We start from the raw sequence: 20,806 nt of genomic DNA, 5'->3' as shown, positions 1-20,806 counted from the left end.
CATCAGGGCCTGGTCAGGGCTGATTCATACCCATTAGCATCGCAGACCGGAGACAAGCAGGGAAGAGCTGTTCCCACTTCAAGAGGGGACTTGAACAGTAGCGTGCAGCCTCCAGTCCGCTCCTGATGGTTCTGAGACTGAAAGCCTGCTCCTTCTCACACACACAACCCCGCTTAAATGGATGTCAGCATGAGCACAAATGACCTGTCGACATTCCCTAAAACCACCCTTCCAAGCTTCCAGACAGACCCTCCTCCTGCCCACCTGACACCTCTACCTTCCATTTCGGCCACAGTGGCCTCCTTGCTCTCCTGCAGTCCCATGGAACCCAGTCCCTCTCAAGGTCTTGGCTCCAGTTCTCCCTCACCTGGAAGGCTCTGCCCACCTCACCCCTGACCACCCCAAAGATAGCGCCCACCACAGCGCAGTGACTTCATCACAGCATTTGTCAGTGGCCGAAATCTGAAAAAAATCCCGTTTGTTGGTTTTCACCTATTGTTAGCCCCTCTCCTCTAGAATGAGTTCCTTGCCAGCAGGGTCCTTGTCTGTCTTGTTCTCTGTGGATCCCCAGTGTTAGAATGGTGCCGGGCACATAGTAGGAGGTCAATAAATACCAGTTAAAAGAATACATGTTCCAAGACCTGATTGGAGACTCCGAATTCAAGCAGCAAGATGACACCCACACACTATACTGGCCTGGAATTTCGATGTTGCTGACTTTTTTTCTAATCAGATGAGCAGAGCAGAACCCAGGCCTGTGAACTTGAGGACATCTGTTTTCTAGTAGCCAGGATATATCTAGAAAGGCATTGAAGACCACTGCTCTCCCCAAATAGGAGGCCACAGGGCCTGGTAAGAGGTGCCTTGAGACTCCATCTCAAGCTTCTCATCCCCCAAAGGTCAGGGAGACTGGGAGAGCCTCAGCCTCACACAGGTACCCAAGGCTTTCCTTTCTTAGTTTTGGAGCCTCCATCTCCCCCACCCCCGACCCTGCCAGCTTCAGTTTCTTTATCAATAAAATGGGCTGAAACCTGATGGTTCCTGGAGCCAACCAGCCCCAACATCAGTTACGGGAAGACCCAAAATAGTAAGTGATTCAAATGGAATCAATAACGTATTTTGAGAGAAATGGCAAAAAAAAAAAAAAAACAAAAAAAAAAAACGGGTTTGGTGGCTGACGCCTATAATCCCAGCACTTTGGGAGGCTGAGGTGGGTAGATCACGAGGTCAGGAGACCAAGAGTATCCTGGTTAACACGGTGAAACTCCACCTCCTAAAAATGCAAAAAATTAGCCAGGCGTGGTGGCAAGCACCTGTAGTCCCAGCTACTCGGGAGGCTGAGGCAGGAGAATCACTTGAACCCGGGAGGTGGAGGTTGCAGTGAGGCGAGATCATGCCACTGTACTCCAGCCTGGGCAACAGAGCAAGGCTCCGTCTCAAAACAAAACAAAACAAACTCTTAGTGAGGATGGGTCTTTGTCCTGTGATACAGTATGTATTTCCTAGGGGTTATTAATAACCTACTACTCTCACTCCTGCATTTGGCATTGTTTTTAATCCCTCAGGAGAAAAAAAATTACCAAAACTTAGGTGGTCACTACTTCTGGTGAAATCAACTGCCTGTTTAGTAAAAAGAAGACCCACAGACATTTGCTGAGCATCCATCATGTGCCAGGTGCTATGCTGGGTGCCTTGGAAGGAAGGCCTTCCCAACTTCCAGCCAAGATGGGGCAGGCAGACACATGCCTTTAGCTCCACTTCCTTCTGAAGTCCCAACAAATTATGGGAAAGAATTAAAGGGCACAAGGTCACAGGAATAAACAGAAAAGGAAATAAGAACATAGCCAACAGGAGATGTCAGCAAAATTCTGGAATCTGGAAAGCTGATGGGTAATTTATCACTGATGGGAGATTACAGAAGGTGGAAAGCAGGTTGGTCAAAGGGCACAGCTCCGAAGCAAGTCCACTTGTGCCATGAATCCCCCTAAGGCTTAGGAAATGGTGGCCCTAGGCATGGCAGAGGCCAACAGAACAGTAGGGCTAAAAACAGGAGGAATCTTTGAAATGTTTTACAAGTCTGTAAAAGGAATTCTACTCCTAGATCCCATCCCTAACCAATTTAAGAAACCAAAAGTTTAACCCGAAAATCTTTGGACTTAGGGACAGCCCAGGGCAGAGTATCATGCTAAAAATTTAGATACAGGTTAAGTATCCCCAGTATGAAAATTCAAGATCCAAAATGCTCCAAAATCCACAACCTTTTTTGAGTGGTGACACAATGGTCAAAGGAAATGCTCACTGAAGCATTTTGAATTTTGGATTTTCAAATTAGGAATGTTTAACTGGGAAGTATAATGTAAATATCCCAAAATCCAAAAAAATCTGAATTACAAAACACTTCTGGTCTCAAGCAGAACAACATACAAAAATACAGAACGACAACAAAAAAGAACAAAGCAACAAAGAGCTATAATATCCTCAGTGAAAAAAAATATACATACATCTTGGAGCAGGTTGCTGTAACAAAGAATAACTGGAAAAGAAAGATGTCTTGAAAACTATAAATATGTTAGCAGAAAAAAATCAAAAGAAGGTTGGAAATTAAAGTTGAAGAATATTCCCAGAAATAAAAAAGAATTGGGAATTAGAATGGCACTTGATTTCTTAAAGGAAACACTAGAAGCTGGAATCAGTGGAACAATGCTTCCAAAATCCTCAGAATGATTTAAACCTTGTGTTTTATACCCTGTGCAACTATCAATCAAGTGGAAGAGCAGAATGGGACATTTTCAAACATGTAAAGTTCTCAAAAAAATTATGTCCCACATACTCCTTGCTCAGAGACTTGCTAAAGGATGTGCACCCCCAAAATGGGATAGTAAGAGAGAGGAAGCTAGAAATCCAGAAAAGAAGGGGTCCAATCCAGAAGAGAGCAAAAGGAGTTCCAAAGATGAGAGTGAGTGAAGGCCCTGGAATGAGAGCTGTGCAGTAGGCTCAGATAGCAGTCAGTCCAGAGAGGAGCAGGAGAACAGAGAGCTCCAGGAGTGACCTAAGAAAACCAGAAAAATCAGATTGCCTGAGGTGTTGTGATTGTGCTGAGATTCACACTTCTATCAGGGTCTGGGCTGAATTTGTGATAGATACATAGGAAACTGAGCAAACAAGACACTAAGACGTAGTGACTCCGGGAAAACAAAGGATTACACATAAAAGGGAAATATAAGCATAGCACATTTAAGGTAGAGGTGTAAACAATATCTCAGTAGTCTTAATCATGCAAAAGTATACTGATGTAGCCAAAAATTATAACATGACTGAGAGGGAGAGAGAAAGAAATCTATGCTTGGGATGTGGTTGGGAGAAAGATTATTAGAGCTAAATCCCTATCTCCCTTAGGAGGAAATCAATAGATAATATATAGAAGTGAAAAATCAAGAAAAAGTAATATAACCACATTATTAGGAAATGTAGATGTTAATATCAGAAGAAACAGTTCAATGTGCTAAACTGGCAACCTCTGGGAAGAGGTAGCCCAGGGCGATATGAGCCTGCTGCTTTTCACTATGAGCCTGTTATAGCTGTTTGGCTTTTTATATTATGCACACAAAATACTTTGGTATTAAAAAAAAAAAAAAAAACTGAAAACACCACAAAACCAAACCCAACAACAAAAAAACCTTGAACTTCCCCTCAAATTGCTTTCAATCCAGTAAAGGGCAGACCGTGTTAAGAGAGGTTTCGAATGCTCTGGGATGCGAGAGTGGTGGAGCACAGAGGGCTGAGCAGAGCAGCCGGGCCCACTCATGGGAGAACAGAGCATTTGGGAGTCTGAGCTTCTGGGAAACAGGAGGAAAAGTGGGGACCATGCCAGGGCCCTAGCCGTGGACTGCCAGCCCTTCCTCACACATAAGCTGGATGAATATTCTAGGGTAGTTTTCTCTTTACTAATGGAGAGTATTTTCTTTAGTGTGGAGGCACTTTTAGGACCAACAATGTGACTGCAGGGTGGGGTTAAAATATACAGCGGGTCTTGGTTTGACTTAAAAAGCTTCTTGTCTTCCCTATACATTTCTTTAACATTTTTTGAAGTGGCATAAAGGTAACATTTTTCAGAAAGTCCGTAACACTAATTTTGTGTTTCTTCAAATTTGTACTATTTTCTTCTTTGAAGTGATTTTAGCAGTCAAACATTGCTAAGAAAACAGAGGCCAAAGTTCTACTTGGAAAAAAAGAAAACTCTAGACTCTTAAGTGCAATTTCTGAAGAGTATTTTCAGTTTCTAATGGGGCATGTCACTCCCATTACTCCTTGGCAAATTATCAGGTAGCAGGTTTTGTCTTCTAATGCACTAACCAGAGATAATGGCAAATCAGTGTGGTCACTTCTTCAAAATAGCTCCTTGTGTTGCTGTTTAGAAAACTCCTTCACAGTTGGGGTTTTAACGCTTCGGGTTTTAACTCTTTAATGACCATCACCATTTTTCAGTCTCTCTTACAGAAGCTCTCCTTGGTCTGGGATGCTGACATTTGCCTCCCCTGCACCCTCTGGGAAGGCCATGGTTAAAAGGACCCCAGAGATGCAAGAATGACATGAATGCAGCCAGATGAGAGCAAGTGAGGTGGCCAGTACAGGTCAAGAATCAGAGCTCTAGCAGTTGCCATGAACGGTTGTTTATTTCCCTCTGCCCAATCCACTTCGATACACTTTGCTGCAAGTCCTTTTCCTGTTAGTAAAACAAGGTAGACTCCAATTTCCACATTCATGACTGTGTGCCCTTAGCCTCTTCATTTCTGCTGCTCTGCCATCAGCCCTTTGTGTGATAAACCTTTGCTCCCTTTGACCTTACTTCACTCTGGGTTTTCATCGTGTTTTCAAATGGCCTTTACATACATAAACAACTGCTCAACCTCATGCAAAGAACCACAAACTCAAAGTAAGACACCACGTGCATTTTACAGGTGAGGAAAGATCAAAAAGTTAGATGGCGCAAGGTGCTGGCAAAGCGTAAAGCAGCAGACCCTGCGAGGACTATGAATTGGTACCTCCTCTTTGGATGGCAATGTGGAAGCCATCTAACACAATTTAAAATGCAGGCACCCTTTGAGCCAACCACTGCTCCTCTACAAATTGATTCTGTGATATTCCTGCTCATTTGTAGGAGTGTTTGTTGTAGCGTTGTCTTTAGCAGTGAGACTAGAAACTGCTTAAACGTACCTCCATAGAGGGCTGGTTAAGTAAATTAAGGGCACATACAGAGGAAAATTATGCAGCCATAAAGAATGATGTGGGCTGGCATGAAATATCTCCAAGATAAACTTCAAAGTCCAAAAAGGAACATGCACAACAGAGCAGTTAGTGTGTGCTGTTGCATGTGTATTAGAAAACACATGGTTGGGTGCAGTGGCTCACGCCTGTAATCCCAGCACTCTAGAAGGCTGAGACAGGAGGATGGCTTGAGCCCAGGAGTTCGAGACCAGCCTGGGCAACACAGAGAGACCTCATATCTACAAAAAAATAAAAAAGATAGCCAGGCATGCTTGTGCATGCCTATGGTCCCAGATACTCAGGAGGCCGGGGTGGGAGGATTGCTTGAGGCTGGGAGGTGGAGGCTGCAGTGAGCTGTGATCACACCACTGCACTCCAGCCTGGATGACAGAGTGAGACCCTGTCTCAAAACAAAAGGAAAACACAAGGCTGTATATACACAGACATATATGTGCATAGAAGATCTCCAGAAAGAGTCAACACATGGAAAGTTCAGGATATCTCTGGAGAAAGAAAGGTTTGGGAATGGAGGAAACCTGATTTTGTATACTGTGTACCCCTTGGTCTTGTGTGAAGTCTTACCATTTGCCCACCTTACTTTTCCAAAAGAAGTTAAAATTGTTTTCATTAACGTTTTAACAAGGTAACACTGTAAGATGGAGAACTGTCAACCACTACTTAAAAGACAGAATCCACCCACCTTTCAAAGCTGGAAGCAATTTACACAGGTGGGTACCTTTGTAAATCACTGATGACACACACTTCCCCCAATAGGAAAACACTGACATGCAAGCTGGTCCCTGTGCTTAAGCTCTCTGGGCAAAAGTTTCCTCATCAGTAAAATGAAGACGTTGACCTAAGTGATCTCTTAGATCTGTTTTCTGGTGCAAAAGGTCTCTGATTTTAATTTAAACCAATTTCATGTTCCTACAAAGCAGTGAGAGTCGAGCAACGGGCTCTAGTCCACACTCCAAAGCCTATCTCAATGGAATTAAGCCATCCATTCAAAATAATTTTACACTGAAGCATCCTTTAAATATATTCAGAGCACAGAATTTATTGAACATAATATGGAGACAGCTAGTACAAAAGTTTATGCCTTGGCAGGGCAGGTTTCATCAGGCTGATAATGGAACATGGGAGAACATGCTGTAAATGGCTCTTTTGGTCTGGACCCTGCAGAAATACATCTCCTTCTCTCTGGGAAACATCATGTCAGCTGCCAAGCCATGAATTTATTACATATCAGAAAACCAAAATGTGCAACAGTAAAGAGTCCTTTCCTGCACCAACTTTTTAAATTACTTCCATGTCAAAACAGCAAATACAATGAAAAATACATAAAGGACAAATTATGAAAACTAAAGCATTCTAAGACATCTCTTAAGATACTCAGTTCCTAACATGTTAACATACATTGAAGACTATAAACACACACATCAGAAACTGTGGGAATCTTTTTTCAACATAGGGAGAAAGACGTAGAATAGGGAGAGAACAGCATGGGTTACTGAAACCATTTATTCAGAAAGCAGAGGAAAGGCGAAAGGAACACTGAAATAGATCATTTTTAGTTTCTTATAGGAAGTTCCAAATGGCAGCAGTTGATAAATCGTCTTTAAAAAGGAAACGACAGCAACAGAAATGAGAACCAAATATATTTTGCATTTTTCTCTCGGTGTATCATCTTGAGTCACCTTACTTAGGCTACACACGAATGAAAAATATAAAAAGCCACGCCCACTAATTTCGCAGCACCTCATATAGTAGCAAACAGACAGAGGGTACTTACGAAACGTTTGCTAAGGAGTGAATGATGAAAAGCAAAAAGTAGTTCTTGTACACATGGTCTCAATATCACAGACAATAAATTCTGACCTTTGAATTCACATAAAAGATGCAATGGAAAAACATTTTAACATGGATACTGTACTAGAGGATTAACAGCTGAATTCAGTCTATTTCTTAAAAACAAAAGAAAGACGGGAATGCAGGCAGCCAGTTCGGAGAAACAGCCAGGACTTTTTTGTATGACATGGAAAAACCGGCAAGTCAACGTGTGAAACGTGCACACTCATTTCTCATCTTCTTAAACCCTAAAAAGCCCCGCAATCTTGTTAGCACTAAGCCTGGATGAAATTGTGTTAAGATATCTGATTAGTCTCCCTTAGTTGGCATTTTCCAAAGGGAAAAAAAAAGGGAACCTGTTTTATTTCAGTCAGACATGGCTTTGGGTATCAGTGAAACGAAGCTCTGACAGCAGCTCCACCTGCAGAAGGCCAGGCGCACTCCTGCAGCTCATCAGAATGCAAGCAGGAAAGCAGGCCAGCAAGCGAGCATCTGTCCTGCACCCACATCCATTAGCCAAGTGATTACATCTCCATCAGCCCTGGGGTGTAATAAAGCAATTGTAATCGGGCATTGTTACAGGATCAATGTTTCCTGGTTTAAAAATAAACATCAGCATTTATCTAGCAGCAGAAAGCGATTCTCCCACAGTACTGTTTTATTCAACTGACATCTTTTAATCAAAGCAATCCATATCGTGGCAACATTCCAAGGTATCATAACTGCAAATATTTATGGCAAGTTAGATAATGGCTACATTTTTGTTGCTACACTTTTCTTCCTTTTCTACGGATTTAACACAGACATTTTCTAATAAACTAATTCCATTAAGAAAAAAAAATCTCAAGTAATTATATTCATGAAGACAACCTCTCATCCACCTCCACCCGTTTCTCTTTTAACTATCATCCATAACTGTTTATGTGAGTTCATGTCTTTTAAATTTTTCAAAATATCTCTGTAATGAAAATAAAAAGCCCCTATTGTTAAGTGCCGTAGATACAGCCAAAAACATGGCATGGAGGGAGGTCAGGGCCCCCTGGCACAGGGGTGGGTGAGCTTGTGCAGCTCAGCTAATGTTCTAGGCTGTGGCTAATGGGATTCAGAGGCTGGAGGAAGAGGTCTGTGAAGCTGGGGGCAGACCCATTCCCACAGCCTCCCAAGCTTGCCTGTCGGCTGACGCTCCTTATCAGGGGCTTCTATTACTTGCCCTCTTTGCTGATATCCTGGAGAACCGCAGTGCTAATTCAGGGAAAGGCCTGAGACATCAGCAGCTCAGCTGTTTTCAAACCTCAGCAGGGCCCTTCTGTAATACCAATTTTAATCAACTGCCCTCATTCACATTTAATTTACAAGTCATGTAAAGCCTCCATATAAAGCGCTCCCATCATCTCCTTGCCGAGACGGACTGGCAATATTCTTTCTAAAGCCCCCAAAGTCATTCTCCAGGAGCATCAGCAGAGATCTTCAGGCAATGAGAAAATGGAATATGTACCTTTTTTCACTGTCTGTAGTGTGTTCAGTTTCCAACAGAAAAAGAAAAAGCATCTGAACTACAGTCTTAATTCTACTTACTTTAGTGTGAAAATAACTGAATAAGGTACGGAGGCAGACACAAAAGATGTACAGACGGGCAGAGTAGCTGAGGCAGGAAGGCCTCATCCACTCACTTCCCTGAAGCAGATTTTCAGAGCTGAAATGGTATCTTAGCAATGTAGGCCTTACAGAGACTGATTTAGTTCTAAAAAGTTGCCCGATTTAACCTCCTGGAGCCTTTATTTCTTCGTATGCAAACAGAGCCATCTACCCCCCAGTCACAGTTGCAAGGATTAAGTTCAATGAGCGAATGTATTGGAAATGTTCTATACAGGTAAGGAGTGGCATTGAAACAACAGTAACTTTCTTGAAAAGGTTCCTATCAGAGCAGATCTGTCTGAGGAAAAGGGGCCAGGGAAGGCGTTCTCCAAATCCAATTAGGCCACAGAAACTCAATTCGCGTAGGGCCAGCATGATCTCAGAGCTGCTCTTGGTGTTCCAGAAGAGTGGTCGTTGGCCTTATGGGATTTGTATGTCATGAACTAGAGTCATCCATCTATATACTTTGCAGGGGCCTTTCTAAATACAATTCCATTCCAGCTCATCTTTGAGAACACTCCTTCTCAACAACAGCAAACATGGCCCCAAGTGTTAATTAAGAGAGGTCTCCTCAGAGTGGTAACTTTTCATAGTTCAGTTTGGTTCTTTCTCCTTCTTCAGGCCAGACAGCCGGGGGCAGGGAAAGCCACGAGAGGCCCTTCAATGAAATGCCATCTCCAGCAGGGGGAAGCAGTGGCCTCTACACCGAGAAGGTCTCAGGAGTTAAATGTTATTCAGGTGTTCAAAGTGACACTGGGAAGCCCAAGACCCCTATCTCTTCATACATGTATTTCTCAAACTACAATGAGAAATGGGCCATTCCTTTAGAGAAGGAGCTGAAAATGACATATAACATTGTATTTTGGCATGGATTCTGAGTTTGCAAACACAAAAATTTGTGTATGCAAAAAAATATAGGCACGATTTGAAAACTGTCAAGCTACTGACATACGGCACATATGCCACACATGCACACATGCACACATGCACACACACACAGAGTCTGTTTTCAAATTCATCTGAAAGGCTCTGTAGCTCTGAGCTCTCACTACATTCAGTTCTATCTGACTCAACATAGCCTGCAAACTGGGCAATGATATCTTTCGATAGCAATTCTGTTCCTGGGATTTGTTTGAAAGCGTTTAGGTTTTCACGGATCACTGGAGGTTCTTCATTTTTCCCCCTTCTGTGTTATGGAGGTATAAGTCGTCTCTCTAGCCATAAACTGGCCACTGGTAAAAATCAATTTTGATTTTATCAGTATGTATTACTGCTGGTGCCAGCAGTTCAGAAGACGAGAGAAGGAAAACATGCAAACTAGGAGGAGAAAAAAGTTAAAGCCAGTTCCTCACACCTACAAATAAAAAAGCCTGCTGTCTTTAAGAGGTATTTTGTATCGTGCCAAGGAAGCTTAAGTTACCAATTTAAAACTTCAATCAATAAAAACTTTCAGGATTCTGTCACCGCTTCCATCTCTTCTGCATTTGTGAGCACTATGGCTGGCATTTCTGAAGCCAGGGCCGCCCTCTCTGAGGTGCTGTGGAGCCAGTAACCACAGGAGCAGACTGGAGGGCAGCCTGGCAGCAGCTCCCCCATGCACACTGCCCAGCGGCATCCTCCCTAGGCTCGCTCTTTCCATGCCAGTTTCGTCCCGATTATCTGACTCTTAACCCTCTTGGGGCAGGGCAGGCCGTTGTGACAGGCCCCATATTCACCTCCTCTTTGCCTTATTCTTTTTTTCATTATGTAATTCTAGGGAAAACACCCTAAATGTGCATGCATCTCCAAGTCCTCCAGGAGCCACGCGTGCTCCACATTCTTTCTTTTCCTGGCACATTTTTGGCTGCCAGGATGACTGAGAAAATAATCAACCTTCCCATCAGTCACCTGTTTCTCTTCCTGAGCAGTTTCCTTCTGCCACTCAGTCAAAAGGCCCACAAACATGTTCACCAAGTCCTAACCTCTAGAAGGGAGAGAGACTTCAGAGACTGATTTTTAGCTGCAACCAAAATGTCCACATCCTCTGAGAAGCTGAACACCTTCTCCTAGATGTACACAAAACTCTAAATCACCTTCAAAGGTCTAAAACAGAGTAGTTTCTCAGATATTCTTTTTAAGAACTGTTACAGACTCACAAGCCAAATCCCATGACCCGGCTGTTTTTGTGAATAAAGTTTTATCAAAACACACGGCCATATCCTTTAAAAATAAATAGAGCCCTGCTCTAGTGTAATGGGACTGTACTGTACCCCTAGGCACTGTTGGGGACCACCTAAGCACTCTCCTATCAAAGACATGAGGGCCTGGAAGCTACAGGACTTAACTGGCTGCAGCAACTACAATTAGTAAATTTTAGTCCCCTCACGGAAAGTCAGGTGGCAGAAGGCACATGCCTTACAGCTCGGTCTTTTCACTCCCTTTTATAAGTACTGGGGGACACATGGGAAAAATCCTGGAGACGAATTCCTATTGGGGTGGCCTCCCTGTCTGCACACTCAACACAATCCATGGGTGCCTGGGTAACAACTAAGTCTGTTCACCATTTCTGTGAGTACCTGGGATTCAAAGTCAACTTTTTTCATGAAGACAGGAAGTTACTTACTCAGACCAACCATAGACTTCCACTTCTCCAGTTTCAAGGCCCCTGACCCAGCTTGACAGAGCCAGGCTTAGGAGCAACGTGGCTCAACGTATGTGACTTCTAAGGACTGCCTTCCTTCTGATGAACTTGTCCTCTCAAACCTGTGCACAGTGGGACTGTGCCCAGAACGCCCGTTACTAGTCTCAATGGCATGGTTCCCTGACCTAGAAGGGAGGCTGCTTTTTACTGAAGGCCAAAGCAATGGAAGGCCAAGGGTGACCAGGTGCTCAGCTTTTTCAGCAGTTTCATTTTTCATACTGTCAGCTGAAGACAACCAAAAAAAAAATACACACACACACACACACACACACACACACACACACAGAGTTAAATCATGAAACACGTATTTCTCAGTGATAGGGCTCATTTTAAAGTTAACCTTCCAATGGCAAAATAATAAAAATGATAAAATAATAATTCCCCCCATAGAGCAAATGTGACAAAATGACAAAAGAATTCTTAATTTTGGGGCTTTATTATAATTTTTCTTTTCAAGATGCTACATAGTCAAACAGAACTGGGTTGGTCTTTTATGGCATAAAATTAATTCACAGTCAAACTCTCAACTAGTACTAGAAGGATTCGCTGAAGAGTTTCTCTCTTCCCTTGCTCCCCACCCACAACTGCTGGTGCCCTCGCTTCTAACCCTCTGCAGCCCGATCCATTTGTCCTGACTCCAGGCTAGGTCCCCAAGGGGAGGTCAGGCTCAGACTTGGACCTGGGCGCTGGAAGTGTGAGTAATGGTTGAGAGGTGGTATAAGAACAATCTAGAAGACTGACTACTCTTCATTAAAAAAGGTAACCTAGAGTTGACTGTCACTACTGAGAATTTCCCTCCCTATGACAGTTGTTATTTACTGACCCAGAAAAAACACTTCCTGGCAGCTCTTCTCCAGCATCCCAATAAACCCCACCTCCACATGACCAGACTCTCCAGAGACAGAGGAGCCCACAGCCCTCCAGCAGCAATACCAGTTCACCCAACAGAGTTCAGCAGCACGCAGCATTAACTGTACTCTTGTGACAATAAGAAAACATGAGATGAAATACATTAAATAAGTTAAATATGCATTAAACATCTCTGAATAACAGTTTGACTTCACTACATGAACCAATACAAATTTAGCTTGGTCCCTTTAAGTGAACAAAGCACTGCCATTTATTTCCAAAGCGCTGGGTCAATCAGTCAACACACGCCTCTCACTTATGACGAGTACGTCTGATGCTGCCACAGTGCAATTCCTTTGGGCTTCTGACTCTGTTCATCAGTCCCAAGGAGCTGATGGCTTGGACAGAACTGAAGACACGGAAAGCAGCCTGGGCCGGGAGTGGGCCACGTGGGGACTACTGTGTGGAGCTGACCGCACTCCCCAGCATGCTGGGCTCCAGCTCCCCAAGGGCCAGCACCAACAGGCGAGGAAGGGTGTCATTTTAAGAGAGGTAATCCAGCATCATGTACCAAGGCCTACCAATGTTTAAAATGACATTTACAATATGCCATTGTGGCATTACTCATGGTTTCCCTTGTCATTAATAAAGATCATTCTTTTCCCCCTCAATCAGTTACTATACATTTTTAACTTTCTAAAAGATCGTTACATTATATTTGTGTGTGTGTATCTGTGTATGTGTGTGCAGGGAGGGGTAATTTAAAGGCAAGACCTGTGAGATGTCATCATACATTAATTTCTTTTTACACATGGTTATGATAAATTTAAATCCCATGATATGGTGGATCCACCAATCCAATTTACCATCCTGTGCATGCTACCTCTACAAGGCAATCTTCCCAATAATTACACCAACGATAAAGAACAAAACCACCAGAGCCAAGAGCCGGGTGCTAAGGCCTTCTTCCTTCCCAGTTGGGGCTAATGCTGAAATGGGGCTGTTGCTCTGCACTGTCTTCCTCATCCGCAGTCCATCTTCTTCCTACGGGAGCAAACGCACATTTCAAAGACAAGCCAAGGCACCAGAAAGGGGAGTCAACTGTACAGCTTAACGGGATGGGCTGTTTATGCCCAGTGTTGGATGACATGATATGGTCCAACCGCATTTTGCAAACGGAGAAACTGCAGGCTACAGAGGGGAAAGGGCTAGCCTGAAGCCACTGAGAAAACAGTCCCCTCTTTTCTTTCATCCATTCCACTTGCTGCTGCTAGTTACAACAGACATCTAAACAGGGTGCTCCTTGGTTTCCCGTGATTTACAGAAAAAAGCACTTAAAAGGGTCAACTGGGCCCTTTGCACCCTCGGCCCCACCCACCTCTATGGCCATGTCTTCCGGATGCTTCTCTTCAACCCCAACCTCTCTGTCCTTCCTGCCTCTAATGAATAGCCTTCCTTGATCAAATCATCGATTTTTAAAATCACAGGCATTTCCCAAGACATAAATATATAAATAAAAGAATCTACAAAGTCAACTGGGCACGGTGGCTCATGCTTGTAATCCCTGTACTTTGGGAGGCTGAGGCGGGTGGATCACCTGAGCTCAGGAGTTCAAGACTACCCCTTGGTCAACATGGTAAAACCTCGTCTCTACTAAAATTACAAAAATTAGCCTGGGGTGACAGAGTGAGACTCCATATTAAAAAAAAAAAAAAAAAAAAACCTAAAAGTGGGACATCTGGAAGCTTTCAAATGCAGAGCTCTGTAGATAGCTGGTACTTAATGAGTTACATCCAGACTGCTGGATCAAATGATATTTGGAATATTAAAATGTGACTGGCCTTCATACACTCATCTCAAATATTTTCTACTTAATGCATAGATTTCTCATTGAAGAAGCAACATTCTTTTTCATACATATAAAGATATTTGACCATATTCCCCACCCTCCCCTTGTCCCCAAACTACATGGAAATGTAAGAAATGAAAAATTTTTTCTTCCTTCACCTCCACTGCCACAACTGCCTTGCACTTTCCTAAGAATCTGCAAGTTACTATGTAGATCTATGATGCCATTTCCATGCTCTCAAAGCCAAGCCCACATCCCTGAAGAGGGACATGCATCAAGCCATTCTATTCTGGCACAGACTCATCTTTGCTGATAGATCTCTTGCTAATTACCTCATCTCCTCATCCTTAAACCCCACACACCAGCTGTACTTTCTTTTCTTCGTTTCCTTCCATTCGCTCCCATCCGCCCGAGTACCTAGTAGGTCCTGGGGACCACAGGCAGATGAGTCCCATGGAGCTGACTCTCCCTGCAATTTGTTGCTATCTCTGTGGGACATTGATCACACTGGCTTGTAATCACTTCTGTCTATGTCTCTCCCTGCTATCCCAACAACAGAGAGCTCCTCAAGGGCAGGGGCTGTTCGTGTTTGAATCCACAGTGCCGGGCACATATTAGACCCTCAGTAAATTTGTTGGCCAGATGACAGAATAAACCAACACAAAACAAGAAGGCAGTGTTTGGCAGGATAAAGAATCTTCTAATGTTGAGATTGGTCTGATCATATTTTAAGGATATTCTGCTCATGGGGCATGGCCCGTATCACTGCACAGTGATAAACAACTGGTGGTGTCCGACTGGCTTAAAAAAAAACCCGGCAAACTAAACCATTTATTTTATTAGGTTATATAGAAGCTATTTCTACCTATTTACCACTTTAAATAGCACAGAACTCTGTTTCAGAAGAGAAATACACTCGAGAAGCTTCAGGCATAGCTTAGATTTTTAGCCAAAAAGTAGTGTCAGCTTCACAATTTACTACACACTAAAGAAATTACTGACTGAGGCAAATCAAAATCACTGCAAAGGAAGAAGATGATGCCATTTCCCAAATGCTGTCAGTTCTCCTATATCTACCTCACTGTCAGAGTAAAAGAGAAGAAAACTCATACTTTTAAAGCTGGAAGGGGCCTTAGAGGTGTTTAGCAAACAGAGGCCTAAGAGATGCTGTGACCAGCACAGATTCAGAGCTGTTTCATATTGGATGGGAGCAACTTCCACACCACCACAAGCCAAAAGAAGCACCCCCTGCCTCCCCACTTCATCACTCAGTACAATACAACCTTCCATTGCCAATGCCAACTGCCTCATCCAGAAGCTAGAAGCTCAGATTTTCCTTCCATAATCTCCACCTCCTACCCACTGTGAGGCACCCCACCTCCAAGCTCATCACCACATCAATAGTTTGATGAGCCACAACTGCCCAGACCTATTTAGAGTCTTCTAAAATCAGAACTATACTTGCATTAAAACAGAGTATAGGTCAGTATTCACTCTCTGAAAAAAGATTCTCACCCAAGTGGTTTAAAAATGCATATTCAAAATAAAAACTATTTTGGTCTCAACATTTATTTTCAATTTACAATAATGGAGAGTTTGAGTTGTTTGGGGTTTTGTTTATTTTGTTTTTGAGACGAAGTCTAGCTCTGTCACCCAGGCTGGAGGGCAGTGGCACGATCTCAGCTCACTGCAACCTCCGCCTCCTGGGTTCAAGCGATTCTCCTGCCTCAGCCTCCCGAGTGGCTGGAATTACAGGCACCTGCCACCACACCCAACTAATTTTTTGTATTTTTTATTAGAGACGGGGTTTCACTTTGTTGGCCAGGCTGGTCTTGAACGCTTGACCTTGTGATCGGCCCGCCTTGGCCTCCCAAAGTGCTGGGATTACAGGCGTGAGCCACCGCACCCGGCCAAGTTTTTTGTTTTTGTTTTTTTTTTTAAGGGGACAAGAGCTTCAACAGTTGAGAAATTTCTGATCAAGGGACAGTGGTTCTTAATTTAGGCAGATCCAAGGACCCTTTTGAGACTCTCATGAAAGCCATGGAAATTTCTCCCTGGGGAGAAAAAAATAGCCAAATACCAAAAGCAAAAAGAAATCTATATATTCACTGGCTCATCAACTTCCCCACCCAAGAAGCTAGTGAAAACGCCCTTGTTTTCTGTAGATTACCAGAAAATAAACTATTACCTTGAACTGCTTGTTCTCCTCCCGTAGCCTCTGAACTTCACCTTGCAGCCTCTTACATTCTTCCATAACCTTCTTAACTTCGGTGTCATCCAAAGAAGAACTCAGAGACTTAGACACTATTGGTGTTTCTGTCTTTGATGCAGTTGTGGATATAATTTTATTTATTTCTACATCATGCTGTTCAAAAACAAATGAAAGCCTAAGTGTCACCGACCATGTAATAATGGACTTTTTTATGCAAAGTAAAGTAGTTCTCAGCAAACACCAAACGTGGTAGCATTTCATCCACACTGTAAAATGTCACATTTATTTTAAAAATGGATTACTTTATCTGATATCTTAATAATCTAAAGCAACAGGGCCCTAGAAATTATGGATAAGGGCAAATAATGAAGTTCGGCTGAGACTAATACTTCAAAGAAAGAGAAAAAGGGCTGTGTATATTGCACTATCAAATTCCTGCCACGGAAAAATCAGCATACTGTAATTGTGCAAGCTCAGGAATTATTAGCCACAAATTACTGTCACCACAAAGATGTGAACATCCCTAGGATTGCCTTAGTGGGGTTAGGAGGCTTGGGAGAGCATTAGACAGAGGGCGAATTACTTTACCAACTTAGCATTTGGAAGCTGGGATGAAGGTGAAACAAACTCAGTGTCTGCAATGTTTCAATCTTGGGAAGTTACATACTCCCCTTATTTCCCCTGCCAAGATTCAGCTATGATCCCCTCTTGAGATTTACAGGGGATGAGAGCCAGTCAGTGGAGGGAGGGCATGGAAGCACGCAGCTTGTCAGGGAAAGAGTAACTGACGATCATTGGCCTGGAATCTAGCTCTACCCATCATTTTCCAGATGAGAAGAGTAGGCCCTGTGAAGCAAGGCCCCAGGCTACCAAGTCAACCTATCACAGAGCTGAGGCCAGAATACTGCTTTCACAGCTTCCAAACTGACCTTCCTGTGACAGGATGTACACTGGGAAGAGGGAAAAAATGACCACTATCCACTTAAAGAAACAGGGTAATGATAGTGGTAAATGATTCAGCAGAAATAAAATCTCAGGTAGTTTTGACACAAATCAACAGCACTCGCGCAGACCAACATAGATACTGTTAACACAACATTTCAGGGTACTTCTGTTTCCCAACTCCAGCTATTAATGGCTAGGATAGTTTCACATGCTGCATGCTTTCACAGTTTTGGTGTTTTTATAAAAATTAAAATGTTTTCGACTAGGTTGAAGGGAAGTCCAAATTAGCATTTCAGATACAGTCTCCTTTCTTCAACTGGTCACAAGTGAGGATCATGAAAGGTAAAGCGCTCACAGTGGACAGCCTAGAGGATGGGGCTCCTTCCTTCTCCCCACAGGCAACACCGGAATGGGATCACTCTCAATGGGGGTTGATATTGCCCTCCAGGACACATGTGGCAATATCTGGAGACATTTTTAGTTGTCACAACTGGGAAGTACTACCAGTATCAAGAGGGCAGAAGCCAGGGATGCTGCTATTAATAAAACACCCTACAGTACACAGGGCAACCTCCACCACCACCAAGGATTTGCCCCAAATATCAACAGTGTTGAGGCTGAGAAATCCTCATCTAAAAGCAGCCTTTGATTGAAGAGGTAGATAGGGTAAAAGGGGTAGGGAGGCTGACAGGGCACTTTGTAAAACAAGAGAACTTGAAAGCTTCCCACACGTCCATCAACCACCATGATAAAGGGCAAATTGTTCCCTCTTTCACTCTCACCCACTGTTTAACAGCAACCTATACCTTTGCCAGGCCACAGAAGCTCTTCAGGATTTATGACATCTCAATGGCCATCGGGCTGCACTTTTCAAGGGGAAACACTGTCAATCAGTTGTCTTTCCGTGAGTTTTTCAAAGGCTGATTTCATAAAGGCCCACTTATTTGCTGACTTCAGCTTATTTTTTTTCTTCAGACATCAGATAAAGGAAAATAATTTGCCAACTTAAATCTTGGTTTTGCAGGAAATGGTATGCAAATAAGTATCAGCTTACAACATTCAATTATTGTTAACTATAAATATACTTACTGGTTTATCATTCTCTGCTGGCAATTCAAACACACATCTAAGTTTTGAATCCATAAGGTCTTCCGGTTTTGCCTCCTTCCACTAAAACAATTTAAATTTAATAATCAAGATATTATAAACCTGCTGGAAGAATAACTTTCTTCCTATAACTGACAATTTCAGAAAAATACTCTTAATGAGAAAGCCCTGATGTATATCAAATAAAGAACTGAAGTCTGCTGAGATTTCAATATTTGTAACATGACAAGATTAAATACACTCACTTTCTCAAAATATTACACTTCATAAACCCTGAAGTCTTGCTGCCTGACTCCTCAAAGTCAACCAATGCTCCCCATGTTGCTACTCTGTGGGACAGGCCCACCACTGAACAAAAAGGAATCCTCTAAACAATGTCTGGATGACCAGGTAACCTTGGCTCTCCTTATGAAAATAAAACTTGTTTTCAGCTGGGCATGGTGGCTTATGCCTGTAATCCCAGCACTTTGGGAGGCTGAGGTGGAGGGACTGGTTGAGCCCAGCAGTTTGAGACCAGTCTGCACAACGTAAGGAGACGTCATCTCTACAAAAAAATTAAAAAATTAGCTAAGCATGGAGGCACATGCCTGTGGTCCCAGCTACTCAGGAGGCTGAGGAGGGAGGATCACTTGGGCCCAGGAGGTGGAGGCTGCAGTGAGCCATGATCATGCCACTGTACTCCAGGCTGGGGGACACTGAGAGACTCTGTCTCAAAAATAATAAATTAAATTAAAATGAGAAAATGAAACTTATTTTAAAGGCATATCTAGAAAGTATAAGCGCATACTATCTGGGACTAGTTTCAGAACCACTCTGCCAACTACCAACGGAACACATTCATTACCAAATCCCTCCTCTGTCACTGTGGCAGTGTGTGGGCTGTGTCTACCCCAAGACCCATCTCCATCCCTCCAGGCTGTAGTGAGAGCACCTTCCTAGCTAAATCCCATGTCCTAAGAGGATACGCTCCTGATTACTTCTCCTTTTGGCAGCAGAAGATGGGAATTCCAGGGTATTCTAGGATTACAGACCAGGATAGCAGCAAGGTTATGATATAGAAAAAGAAGGCACCCCCACCCTCCATGCCCTCAACCCTTCCCAAAACCATGCAAGAGGCAGCTACTGTAACACAGGTACCAAGAACCAAAAGTGGGAAGCAATCTATACATCTGACCCTAGGGGACTGCCACAAAAATTATGGCAGATCCACTAAACGGAACAGCATGCTGCCACTCAAATGATGCTGAAGAGCACTCAGTTAGATGGAGAAAATGTCCAGAATGTTAAGTGAAAAAATCGCAAAGAATACTGAAGTCTGCTCCTCTGCACACACACACCTGTACACGTGTGCCTACCACATAAGTCAAAAAAAATATCAAGCAAGGATCATCACTGAATGCTAAAAGCACCAGGTGAAAGACTGCTGGCGAGCAGGATATTCACATGGTCTCAAAGTATCAGATGACTCAGAGTATCACAGATTACCTATTAACCACAGGGGCAAATGTGCTTTGTGCTATGACAGTGGAGAGAGCTGGCAGTCACCATCTTAACCAAGTGATCAAACAGCATCACCAACAGCGGAACAACCTGGTATGAAATACCAACTATGGAATATTCTTGCCAAAACACATTTAACTTGAATTTAATCATGAGGAAATAATCAAATAAATCCAGAATACAGGACATTCTGTAAGTCAACTGGCCTGGACTCTTAAAAAAAAAAAGAAGTTCAAAGTTTGGGCAGGGTGCAGTGGCTCACACCTGTAATCCCAGCACTTCGAGAGGCAGAGGCAGGAGGATCACTTGAGCCCAGAAGTTCAAGACCAGCCTGGGCAACATAGTGAGACCCCAACTCTATAAAAAAATAAAAAAATAGCCGGCATGGTGGCATGCCTGTAGTTTTAGTTACTCGAACAGCTGAGGTGGAGGTCAAGCCATGACTGCACCACTGCACTTCAGCCTTGGTGACAAAGCAAGACTTTGTCTCAAAAAAAAAAAAAAAAAAAAAAAAAGTTCAAAGTTTGAAAAACAAAAAGGTTTGGGTGTCCTCTACTAAAGGTCACTTTTGGAACAACTAGGAAATAATGAATATGAATTTATCACATAATAATACTGAATTGAAGTTACTTTTTTCAGCTATGATTAATAGTATCATGACTATATAAGAGACTGTCCTTGCTCTGAAGCATTTAGGGGTGAAGTGTCATAAATTTGCATCTCAAGCAAATAAGAAAGTTTGTGACAGAAAGGAAGCAAATGTCACAACATGTTAACAAATGTAAATCTAGGTAAAAGTTATATGAGTGGTCACCATGCTATTTTTTCAACTTTCTGTATATCACAATAAAAAGAAAAACATTTTAAAATAAAGAAAAAGCAGGCTGGGGCAGTGGCTCATGCCTGTAATCCTACC

The 20,806-nt window shown here is 42.9% G+C and overlaps 1 protein-coding gene across 4 annotated transcripts in view, besides 1 other annotated feature; it reads right to left on the bottom strand.

The window, feature by feature from the left end:
- The window catches only part of VAPB (VAMP associated protein B and C), a 61,873-nt gene continuing 47,363 nt past the window's right edge, over positions 6,297-20,806 (bottom strand). Inside the window, exons 4-6 of one of the 4 annotated variants that reach the window (NM_004738.5) lie at positions 18,373-18,453; positions 16,315-16,491; positions 6,297-13,321 (exon numbers count right to left, since the gene is read on the bottom strand). In NM_004738.5, the coding sequence (NP_004729.1) occupies positions 13,163-13,321; positions 16,315-16,491; positions 18,373-18,453 (417 nt within the window). In that variant the 3' untranslated portion in view covers positions 6,297-13,162. Of the gene's footprint in view, positions 13,322-16,313; positions 16,492-18,089; positions 18,253-18,372; positions 18,454-20,806 lie in introns of those variants that run through there. The other 3 variants (XR_001754433.3, NR_036633.2, NM_001195677.2) reach the window with 3 other exon arrangements.
- Positions 10,420-10,921: an enhancer, noted in NCBI's record as "H3K27ac hESC enhancer chr20:57021533-57022034 (GRCh37/hg19 assembly coordinates)". NCBI's record gives its function as "activates a minimal SCP1, AML or CMV promoter by ChIP-STARR-seq in primed H9 embryonic stem cells {active_cell/tissue: H9 hESC(primed)}" and the evidence as "EXISTENCE:reporter gene assay evidence [ECO:0000049][PMID:30033119]".

This window comes from Homo sapiens, chromosome 20 (assembly GCF_000001405.40).
Source record: "Homo sapiens chromosome 20, GRCh38.p14 Primary Assembly".
Classification (NCBI taxonomy): domain Eukaryota; kingdom Metazoa; phylum Chordata; class Mammalia; order Primates; family Hominidae; genus Homo; species Homo sapiens.
Note: the sequence above shows the minus strand (reverse complement) of the source record. Positions and strands in the feature narration are given on the sequence as shown.